The sequence below is a fragment of the Homo sapiens genome, chromosome 8, assembly GCF_000001405.40.
Source record: "Homo sapiens chromosome 8, GRCh38.p14 Primary Assembly".
Lineage (NCBI taxonomy): Eukaryota > Metazoa > Chordata > Mammalia > Primates > Hominidae > Homo > Homo sapiens.
In genome coordinates this window covers 93,267,327-93,280,012 of record NC_000008.11, presented here as the reverse complement: position 1 = coordinate 93,280,012, position 12,686 = coordinate 93,267,327, and the positions used below count along the sequence as shown (strand labels likewise).

General features: G+C 38.6%; 1 long non-coding RNA gene across 1 annotated transcript in view; it reads left to right on the top strand.

Annotated features, from left to right (window-relative positions):
- LOC107986956 (uncharacterized) overlaps nucleotides 1-12,686 on the top strand; it is a 90,023-nt gene that overhangs the window by 60,246 nt on the left and 17,091 nt on the right. The window lies entirely within an intron of this gene.

The window sequence follows — 12,686 nt, the reverse complement described above, 5'->3', positions numbered from 1 at the left end:
GTTTAAACTAGGTGTGCTGAATTGGACCTAAAGAAAAGTTTTGGACAAATACTTTTGGGAAACATGGCAAAGTTTCTAATAAAAGAAATAAGACGACTTAATACAGATGCTAATTCAGGAAGTGGGAAATTAAACTCCAGGATGGCCTTATAAAGGCTAGACTTCTAGTACCAAATCAAGGCAATGGATTTTGGGAAAGGAGACCACATGACACTCTAGTTCTTTGAAACAGTTCGTTTCTCAACATTTTCCCGTGTTGAGAATGCCAGCAAAATGATTCCATGCACTGGCCAGAGACCAAAAAAGAAGAAAATATAGATTTAATCATCAAATCAATCAATGATAATTATGTTGTTGGTTGTGATTAAAATTACATACCACAAGGAGAAATGTTGAATTTACATGGAACTTTCCCTCCATCAGTTAGGACTATAAGTCTAGTGGTGGTTTGATCCTCTGGTGGGTATCTTATCCAAAAAATGAATTAAAAAACTGTTATTAGATACAAAATAAAACATAATCTTATAGGAGCTCCAACCCAGAATTTTGATATTAATATTTTACATTTGGTCTTCATGCATTGCAGGGGTCAGCTTGTGGGGCAGGTGCAAGTGAGGGGATCCCTGGGGTCCTTTGGTTGATATGTGCAAGGCTTGGATGCTGGATGTCTCCTTAGGCAACAGAATGTGTTCGTTAAGGGGGTGGGTCTTGGCTTTAGACTTGCTTGGTTTGAAACTTATTCTGTCACTTTCCAGCTATATGACTCTGGGCAAGTCCCTCAGTGTTTGTGAGCCTCAGTCACCTAATTTGTAAAATGGGGTAATGGCAATAACTGGGTCACAGAATTGTTGTGAGCATTTAACTAGGTAACAAACGTAAAAAACTTAGTGTGATCTGACACTTGTGCAAAGGTTAGCCATTATTACACATGCTAAACACAAACTGCTAACCTTTGTGAGATATTCAAGTATTATAGATGTGTCAGTTCATAAAAGCTTAATTGTCCTTTCCGAATACTTTAATCTTCAGAAAATTGCTTTCTTTGAATATATGTATTGCAATAGCACTTATAGATCAAGACTGAATTTCCCTACTTCTGAAAAAAAACTAGAAAATCCTGAAGGCTATACGGACTATGTGTACTTGCTATTTACCTAAGGCTGAGAGGGATGTTTAGAAAGCACTCTGGAAGAGGAAAGTCCAGAAAGGGAGTGCAAGGCAAGTGCTGCTGAGTCTAAAAACCAAGCAAACTGACCACAATCAGCTTGAATCTGTCAACAGAAAAAGGAAACAAAGTCAAATGGTTAGAAGCAGACAGCAGGAAAAGAATTAGAGAATAAAGGAGCAATGAAAGCAAAGTTAGAGGTCCTAAATTCATCTGAAAATCCACAGCTGACTGGTTTGCTGATTGATTGATTGACTGATTGATGGTGGGCCCCAATTTTGGAATGAATGTGCCACTTTTGAAGACTCAGATAGGATGGACAATGCATTTTTCTAATAGCTGTCAACTATGAAATTGATTTTGAAAGAAAAAGAAAATCAAGTCAATAGCTATTATAATAACCAGAAACAATGATAAAATTCTTTATCATCTACTTCTGTGCTGCTGAGGCCCATACAATAATAGATATGAAATGGTTAACAGGTAAAATTTTGGTCACTGGTCCCTGGAAAAAAAAAGTGAAATCAATGGAATTATGCAGGACACATTCATAGTTTTTATTTTGTCTATCTCAGACTAATCCAGGAGTTGCATTTTTTTTTTCTAATAAATGGCATTGGCTTTGTACACTCATCCCTTAAATAGCTGAGCGAGGCATCTTTTGACTGAGAAGCCAGAGCACCAACTCATTCTTAGGTTACTAAATATCTATCTACAGATAGGTATTTTTGAAGTATATTAGAGGAAGTACAGTTAATTTTCTGTGTTTTTTTATGGACTTAGAGTTTTGACTTACATAGAAATTAGGAATTGCGGCCGGGCGCGGTGGCTCACGCCTGTAATCCCAGCACTTTGGGAGGCCGAGACGGGCGGATCACGAGGTCAGGAGATCGAGACCATCCTGGCTAACACGGTGAAACCCCATCTCTACTAAAAATACAAAAATTAGCCGGGCATGGTGGCACGCGCCTGTAGTCCCAGCTACACGGGAGGCTGAGGCAGGAGAATGGCGTGAACCCGGGAGGCGGAGCTTGCAGTGAGTCGAGATCGCGCCACTGCACTCCAGCCTGGGCGACAGAGCGAAACTCCGTCTCAAAAAAAAAAAAAAAAAAAAAAAAAGAAATTAGGAATTGCAAGTATCTAACTGATAAAAGTCTAAAGTTATCAGCATAGGCCAAAATTATATAGAAACTGTATAAAACATAAAATACAATCAGGACCTTAAAGACTAAAGAAGAAAAGTCAAACTGAGCAGTGGCAACAATTGTGTGGTACTAAGAATGTTGAGTGAAAAACAAGGACTGTTCGGCTTACCACCCCCTGATCTATCAACCTGTATCTGTACCTATATAAACTGCTTTTCTACCTATTAAAACAAAATGATTGAACTATCCTTGTATCTTCCTAAAACTAATGTATCCCATTCCCTCTCACCAACTCAGGGACTTAGCTGCTCCAGTGCCTCGTCTGAGTCTCTTCTGCTCTTCATTCTTTTCCCCAAAGACTAAAATGATGCCGAAATAGCTTCCATAAAAGAAACAAAAACAAAACACAAAACACAAAATAACCTCATTCTATTTTAGTCCATACTCACAGGGTGTTCATTTCCCATTTCTTGCTCCCTTTTGTAGCAGACATCTAAAGAATTATCTGCACTCTGAGTTTTTGCTTTCTCATTCTCCTTTCTTTAACCCAATCAGGTTCTCTTCCCACCGCTATGCTTCACTTAGGAGCCTCATTGCCTCAAACTCAGCAGTCTGTTTTCTGCCGAGTGTTGTTTGACCACTCAAAAGCTCACTCTTGACTTCAAACAGATTGCTCTTTCTTTTTGGAAAAATATTCTTCTCTTGATTCCTGAGACATTATCACAGTCTTCTGGTTCTTCCTCCTCCTCCTCCTCCTATGTACTAAATAATGGACTTCTCCAGGGCTCAATTCACAGGTCCTAGCCACTCCTCTATCTACATTTTCTCTTTAGGGACTGTATTCCATTGAGTCTCATGGTCTAAACATCACATAACACTAAGGAAACCCAAATTATCTCTCTTACCCTAATCTTTCCTCAGACAAACTCTAATGTCTCATGAACATCTCAAACTATACAAGTCCATAATGTGACTTTTGATCTTTTCATCTTGAGTCTTCTCTAATTTTTTGAACTAAATTAGTAACACTGTCCTTAAACCATTTGCTCAGGCCAGAAATCTAGGGATCATTATTGCTTCCTCTTTTTCTTTTACTCTCTATCCAATCTAGGAGCTAGTGGATTGCTGTTGGTTCCACTTCAGTTTGTAATAACTTTTGAGTTTAAAAAATAAAATAAAAATAAAAACATATTCAGAAAAATATATTCTCTATTCACCTCCATTACCATCCTCGTCTAAGACCCCAGCATGGCCTTCTGACCTCTGTGATATCCTCCTAGCTGGTTGTCCTGCTTCCCATCTTGTTCACACAGGCCTCTGACACACAGCAATGAGTCTTTCAAAATGCAAGTCAGATCATGTCATTCTCCTGCTCAAAACTCACAGCTTCTACTTCCCTTCAAATAAAATTCTAAATCGTTATTCTGACATATGAGGTCCTATGTGAATTTGCTTTGCCTCTTTTGCTGTGGCTATTACCTCCCTTTTCCTCCAATGCATAATAGGCTTTAGCCCATCATTAGCCTTCTTTTTGCTGGAATACACAATGCTTATTTTGCCTCTGAGACTTTTATATCTGCTGTTCCCTCTTCCTGGAGGACTCTTCCCCGGGCCTTGGCATGGCTGTCATCATTCATGTTTTTCCTGCAATGCTCCCTCAGAAAAGACTTTCCATGCTACCCTACCTAAAATAGCAGCATCCTGTCTTCCATCACTCTCTCTGTTTATTTTGCTTCGTAGCATGTATCACTAGCTGAATTTATATTATTTTTTAGTTTACCGATGTGTTTCTCCCACTAGAGTGTAAACTCCATGAGGAGAGGGACATTGCCTTATTCCTTGTTGTAGCTCCTGTATCTTGAAGAATTTCTGGCACATAGAAGTAGCACTAATAACTTGTGACATGTGTACACAAAAGAGTGCATATCCATGCATGCATAGCTGGCTTTCTCTTTTGTAGGGGAGAAACCCTTTTGTGATGTTTAGTGTGAATATCTAGATGTCCCACCCCCAGAAAAACTAGGTCAACATCACATGATAAAAGACCATCTTGTTTTTTCTTTTCCTTTCATTGCATGCATTAAAACTAACAGGTAGATGACTGACAGATGACCAACTTTAAGTGCAGAGAGAAAAACTAATGACTCTTTTATAAGGCAACAGACAAGAAAACATGTCCAGCAGCATCTACATCATAATTCCTTCTTCCTTGCATCTTGTCCTACCACCCCCACCCCACAGCAGTTCATTAAGAAGTTGTAATCCCATAGACACCAGTGGCAGGTGGCAATGGCTGACAAACAGCAGGTATATTGCTCCAGGGCACCCTGTAATTTAATGTACCAGTAAAACATGTCTGCTGATTTATGGATTGATGGATCACAAGGACCTCCTGGGTATATATTGGAAAGGTAGCATCAGAATCCACAAGGAAGACTGTCTGAAGCACAAACCAATATGCATTTATTAAAGAAATTGGAAGTCTTGGTGTTTCTTTCCACTCAAAACTAAAATGAAAGCAAACTCACAGGCTTTAACAACCAAAGATTTGTATAGCTAGATAAGATCTCAGGTATCTTCTTATTTAATCCCTTTATGTATAGATGAGGAGTCTAAGGTAGAAACGTTAGGAAATTTGCCCACAGTCACACAACCAGCCAAGAATATCTCCCTACCTGTTCAATCCCGTACCAATCCCTGAAAACCACTGGTGCCTGTCTAATGGCTGGCTTTCACCAGAATACCTTCCCATTGGAATTAATGTTCCCAAACTGTTATTCCCTACACCACACTCTATTTATTTCATGTTAACTCCGTCAAATTACCTTGACTTTGGATTCATTAACACACGTTTTGACAGACACCACCTTTTCCATGAGACATGTAACTAAAATTCTTAGCATGGCAACTTTGTGTGGTATTTACCTCACATGCATAAACAAAAATAGCTGTACTGGATTAATCTTTATAAATGAGGTCAAGCCATCCCTCCATTTCTGTGGGGCAGTGTGCATGGTGGTTGAAGCACAGACCCTGCCGTCACATCCCAGGGTCCTATCCACTTTTCTATTATCAGCACTTACTAGCTTTGTGGTCTTAGGAAGGGTGCGTAAGTCTTCCTATGTCTCGGTTTTCTTAGTTATAAAATAGGGATAATAACAGTACCTGCCTCATGGGATTTACAAGGACTAATTGGATTAATGAACATAATACATTTAGAAACAATGCCCGGCATACACTAAGTGCCACATGCATGTCACCAAAAAAGGAAAATCTTTGATGATCAAATATTTTTCAAGGAGTCTTTGTCCTATTACACTTAAGAATTCACTGCAAGAAATATGGCACATTTTATTGAGATTGACTTTCCCAGGATGTAATATAACTAAGCAGTACACATTATAACTACTACTGAAATTTCTATAAGTTTGTAACAAAGGAATTTAATTATAACATGATCCTGCTTAGTGGCTCCATTACTAAAACCAGAAGCACAAATATAAGGCAAAAGTTGAAACTGAGGCAATGTACTCATGATTTCAACATCTTAGGAAGGATCTTTGAGCAATTTGGAAGTGGAATTCTGTTTAATATTTTGGCAACAGTTTAAAAAGCAGCAATAATCCATGCTTGCCAAATCATCACAAGTTTTGTATTAGTAAAGGGATAATTTAACTTTTTACAAAAGTTGTGGCTACATTTAATTTTTCTAAGGGCTTAGTAAAATAATAAGTGTAGACTTCATTTACAACATTCCTTTGCTCCAAAGTTTAGTCTGTGAAAACAAGCTGCAAGGAAGCTCCATTTTACAGAAAAAGTGAAAAAAAGAGAAACTGAGTACAGAAACTTCAGAAAGTTGTCTAAATTCTTACTGTTTGTAAGAAACAAATCAGATCTGGGACTCAAAAAGCAAATACCATTTTTAAAGTATTAATATGATGAACAGTTAAAAACATGAACTCTGAAGCCAAAATTGATGGCCTCCAATCTTAGTTGTCTGACCTTAGGCAAGTTACTTAACACCTCTGTGCTTCAGTTTCTTTTTCTATAAAGTGAAGATACTAATGGTACCTGTAGCTATGTTGTAAGGAGAATTACACAGGGAAGTTTAAAAGGCTCCAAGTAACCTGGGTGGAACACAATTGGGTCTGCTACCCAGAGACTGCCCCAGCCGTGGCTCCAACAGGAAGCTGGTGATGGGCTCCTGGCTTGATTGCTAGGGAGGCGCAAGTACAAAGAGAGGGAAGGCCCAGCCGGGAAGGCCAGTGCTGAGAGTATTCACTTGCTTTCTTGAAGCATAGACACTTAACCCCAAACATTTCTGTCAATTCCACAAATAGTCATCGGAGTGATTTAAATGGTCTCATGTTCTGTCAGAGCAATAAGAAACCTTCAGAGGAAAGCAAACCAATATGTTGTTCGATTTTCAATTGGAAGTTTTAGTTGATTCCATTCTCCCATTTTTTTTAATGAGCTCAGTGAGGGAGCGATGTTAATTTTGTCTTGTGTATAACATGTATAACATTTTCCTAGACGATCTGAGTCACACTCCTCACACTCTACATAGTAACAGAACTCATTCAGATTGCATGTTTTGGTATTTAGGAAGTGGCATCTATATTTATATATTACTATGTATATATAAATACATATGTGTATAGATATAAATATACGTGCATCTACATACTTTTCATTTGCATACACATACACAGATCTATGGAGAGATGTATCACAGGCCAGAGTGCAATTCAAGATGAGCTTTTTGGATTCAGTTTCTGGTTACCAAGCTGCTTATCAGATTACAAATGCATAATGATCTGCACTCTAACACTGCTTACCTAACCTAGACAGTCACCAGGAAAATTCAAAGAGCAATTAGTCTTTTCCTTTATGCTTGAGAGTTTCTGGCAAACTCTAAAATGTCAAGTCATAAAATAGCTAAGAAAATCTAGTTTCAACTTAAACTATTTGTCATCACCATTAAGATGACATTAAGTTTAACTTCAGGGAAATCAGGAGAAGATATCTATGTAAATGGTTTTATCATCAGGAAATAAATATTTTATGAGCTCTCATGAGTATGATTATAAACATAATATTATAGTGGAAGCAGAAGGCCTAGGTTGAAATCTCAGCTCCCTCACCTATTACAGATGACTTGGAGCAAGTCAAACTTTTGGAGCCTCATCTATAAAAAGAGGCTAACAATAAATACCTTTTAGGGTAGTTATGAGAAATAAATGAGATGATATAAAAGAAGGCACTTTATAAACTGTCAACAGCTACATGGTTGTATAGTTTTAGGATCATAATAGCCAGAGTCATAACCAAGGTCAAAGTGATAATGGAAATGGAAGTCATCTATTCCTCAAATTAACTTATATTCTACAGGTGGTGGCTCTGCTGTTGGTGGGTATATTCATTCTAAGGAGAGACAGAACTGCATATCTCTAAAATTTCACAATGAAAAAATCTTTAAAATTATCTGTTATTTGAGGCATTTTCCACTCTCTCATGCCTTGTTATTTCCAAAGTACTGTAATATTTATCTTGGTAATGACAGCACCAGCACGTACTTTTTTCATAACCAGGAAAACACATTAAAGAGGAGTTGTAATTTCAGTATACTTTTAGCTAGTTTTTCTTGATGTATGTAAACACTCCCATTTGCCATATCTGATCCAGAGAGCAGAAAATGTTGGCCATCATCTCCCAATATTTTGGTGCTGTGGGGGGTCTTAGAAATTGACTTCATTGTGCAAATTTCAAACATGAAGGATGCAAAGCCTCTCAGTATTTTCCTGAACTCCTATAAAACTCGTTATCCACTGCCAGTCTCACCTTGCTAATTTTCTCAGCCTAAATCCAGTGTGGTAGGGTCTGTGGCTCAAATCTGTGTATACTTGGGAAGGTTAGTCTCTCTAAGCCTCAGTTTCCTCATCTGTAATCATGAGACAATAGTATGTACCTCACGGAGTTAGAGGCTGTAAATGAGTCATCATGGTCCTTAGCATACAGTAGGCATTTAATAAGTGTTTCTTCTCCTCCTCCTCCTCATTCTCTTTTCATCTTCATTGTGAATGATCTTTAGCAACCCCAGCTCCTCACCCTTTATTTGCTCATTTATTTTAAACCTGATATTTAAATCTGCTTTATCCTAAAACTGGACTACTCTTGGATACTGTGGCTTAGCTACTGTCTAGGCTAAGAGTCAAGGAGAACCTGCACTTATTCAGAAAGCAACAATGAATGTTGCCATTGAGGACAGTTAGAGTGATGTGGGAATGAACACTTCTCTTTACATGCAGGGTCCTTGAGAAGGGCGACAATGTCAGTAACAAGTTATGAGAAAACTGCCTGAAAACACCAGGGATGGTTCCATCCATTTATCTCACGTCACTGGTCACTGTTGGAGTGTTGGTTGTCAGGTTGAACCCTGAAGCAATCCTACTCAGGTGAAAATAACAGAAGACATTGAGATCAAAAAATGAAGAAATTTTATCATAAGGTGGAAAGGAGAAGGATTTACAATAGTGTTCTCTGCTTTTTAAAATGTCACTTAAGAAGAAGTTTATAGGCCAGGTGCAGTGGCTTAACGCCTGTAATCCCAGCAGTCTGGGAGGCTGAGGCAGGCGGATCATGAGGTCAGGAGTTTGAGACCAGCCTGGCCAACATGGTGAAACCCTGTCTCTACTAAAAATACAAAAATTAGCTGGATGTGGTGGCACGTGCCTGTAGTCTCAGCTGCTAGGGAGGCTGAGGCAGGAGAATCACCTGAACCAGGACCCAGGAGGCGGAGTTTGCAGTGAGCTGAGATTGCGCCACTCACTCTAGCCTGGGTGACAGAGCAAGAGTCTGTCTCAAAAAATAAATAAATAAATACAAAAGAAGTTTACAGACAAGCAAATTACTTTTGACTCATTATATTACTAATCTCAAAAGATGTGACCAGTTTTATTGCTTTTATACACATTTGTCTATTTCTTAGGGATCTTTGTATCCTTTTACCTTCACATTAAAAAGGTCAAGGAGAAACCATCTGCCTGGGTACAAATTCTTGTAGTGTAAAATAGAAAGATCATAGGCCTTTGAATCAAAGTCTTGGATTTGAATCCTGCCTTGATCAAATGTTGTGTAAATTTGGAAAAAGTCAACTAACTTCTCTGACCTTCAGTTTATTATTTGCCATGACAGGGATTATATTAGATGGAATGAAGAGCTGTGTGGGTTAAATGAGATTATTTATATCAAAGTGGCTAATATATTCCTAGCACTTAAGTGAGGGTCACAATAAATGCTAATAGTCTCCTCCTACTCCATTAATACAGCTTTCTAGAAAGTTCTCACATTAAGGTAGAATAAAGCAAGGCAGCAAGCATATTGATTTCACCGAAGGGTGAGATATATGGAAAATAATAAACATTTTCCTGCCTTTAGTTTCATCTTGTTCTTTCTCTAGTCCAAAGTTGATACACATTTGCAATTTTATTTTGGTAGCAATAGTTATTTCATCTACTGGGAAATTTCTGATATTCTTTTGGAGAATAGATGATTTTATTGCAATTATACATTTTACATTTACTTGTTTACTGTTTACTGAGTGCCTAGTCTGTTCTGTGGAAGCAGAGATAATTGTCAACATGCTCATGACATTTAATGATCTCAAAGAGTATGCAAGAAGCAATAATAATATATGACTAAATAAAAGTAATAAATTCTTATGAGTGACATCCACTGAAGGCACTGGCAGACTGAAAAGAGGAATAGCCCATTCTTACTGGATGAAATAAAAGATTTCATTAACAAGGCAACCTTGAATTGCATTTTAAAAGATAAGATTTTTCTAGGTGGACATTGTAGATAAGTGAGAAATGAATAGAGAGTGCAGTGGTATGCAGAACAAGGAGTTCCGAGTGGCTGAAGGATAGAGTGTGATAAAGGGGTAAAGGTAAAATGAGACTTGAGAGTTGGGCTGGGCCTCATGGGGGCAACATCATCACATTTGCAATTCAAAAAGATGGTTCTGGAAAAAATATGCAGAACTGCTTGGAGGAATGGCAGGGCTAGAGACCATTACAATTGTGCAATAGCAGATAATGGGACAATTGTCCTGTAGCTATAACCAAGAGCCAAAGAGGAGGGTATGGACTGAGACAGTAAGGAATTATACTATTCAGTATCTGGTGTAAAAGGAAGAGTCCAACATGGGTCTGGCTTAGGAAAATGGACACATGGCAGTGCCCATAACTAAGCATGGCTCACGGGAGAGGGGCATGGGCAGTGTAGACAGAGAAAGGCTTCAGGAAATTGTGCATCCTGATGCGTCTATGTGGCAGGGCATACTGGATATATTTATGTGGATCTGAGGAGACAGGCTTGACCTGGAAAAATGATTTGGGTAACTTCAGCATCAGGTAATACTTAACATTCTTGAAGTAGAAATAAGGTTTAATATGTACAAACCACTGGGCAAGGTAATTTGTCACTTACGTTCACAGTGAGAGATTTGCTTCCAAGCTAGTTTTAACAGGGAAAAAGGCAGAGGAGAGAGTAGAGCCGCATTGGACAGCCCAGGTAGAGGAGGCACAGGGCAGAAAGGTAAGCAGGAAGCTGAAGAGAGTCTCCACCCCCTCATCTCAGCCCACTGTAGAAGATTTCCCATGTGATATATGCACTGACTTTCAGCAGCCTTAATTATTTTTAAGTCTCTGGTCCAGTGATCAATACTATAATAGTATTTCATAGAATCATAAGATCTGAATATAGAAGGGACTTTTGAGGGCAGTTAGTCTACTTGGTCAGTTTAAGCAGTTTTTCCAACATCATTTCTGGAAAATGGCTATTCAGCTTATCTTATATGCTTCCATAATTATATATTGTGCTATAATCTGCATCTAATTCAAGAATGCATCCAACTACATGGATTTTAGAAGAGAAAGAAACCTTAGAGATGATGTGCATCTATGCATTTCAATCTTTCTGCTACCGGAAACTGTCCTCTCCCCATTCAGCCTATTCCCCCTCCCAAACATGCTTTTCTTTGGCCATATTCTGTGGTTCAGTTGCTAGCTTCAGCCTTTAATCAAGTCAGGAATCTGATGGACTTCTTTAAGTCCCTTCGTTGATTTTCACATCCAACCAGTTTATGGACAGAACTCTGGAAAGTGTGGACACAAATCTGGAAAGTAATATTTTGGGAGTTTAAGTATTAATAGGCATCTTCTATAAAGGAACCTGAGAAAGAATGGTCAGAGAGGAAGTAATGCCAGAAGAACAGTGCCATAGAAGTCAGAGAGAGCAGTGTGCAATGTGCAGTGCAGCAGAGAATTCTTTTTGGTGAGGGCTACGTGGCGTTCCTTGGATTTTGCATTTTGGAAGACCATCCCTGAAATATTTGCTGTGGAGGAATTCAGTCAGAAGTTAGTTCCAAGGAACTGAAGAGTGAGTGGAGTGTGAGGAAGTTGAGACAGAAAAAGTATTGACTCTTCTCACCAAAAGCTTGGCTGAAAAGAGAAGTTGAGAAATAGTGTAGAACTATCAAGGGAATGAAGCAACACACGCACGCACACACACACATGCCCATATACATATGCTCTATATGTAATAAAATTACATATGTATTAATATAAATTACATCTATATATATTTTAATTGGAGCAAGCCAAGCCCATTTATAGGCTGAAGGAAATAAGCAATACATAAGAAACTGTTTAAGAAATAGAAAAGAGGCCAGGCACAGTGGCTTACTTTTGTAATCCCAGCACTTTGGGAGGCCGAGGCAGGAAGATTGCGTGAGTCCAGGAGTTCAAGACCAGCCTGGGCAACATAATGAGACTCTGTCTCTACAAAAAGTAAAAAAAAAAAAAAAAGGTAAAAAAATGTTAAAAAAAAAATTAGCCAGGCATGATGGTCTGTGCCCATATTCCCAGCTATAGTCCCAGCTTCTCAGGAGGCTGAGGCAGGAAGATCACTTGAGCCCAGGAGTTCAAGGCTGCAGTGAACTATGGTAGCACCACTGTACTCCAGCCTGGGTGACAGAGGGAGACCCTGTCAAAATAACAAAACAAAACAAAGCAAAAAAAAGAAGGAAACAGAAAAGAGAGAAAGCATTTGAGGATGACTGAGAATGTAAGTACAAGGGCAGACAGGAGTGAGGGTCCCACTGGTGTGAGTCTGGAGGGAAGAAAGGATGAATATGTAGAAATATGATTGACTTTTAGCAGAAAGAAAAATAACATTTATAGAAATTGGCTTAAATGCTTATTAATTCTGGAGAACTTTCATAATTCATATCAGAAGAATTGAATCTTCAGAAGAAAATTCCTTAATGGCCTCTTGGAGTGTGAAAGATGGAGGCCTAGCACAGCATGGCCTGG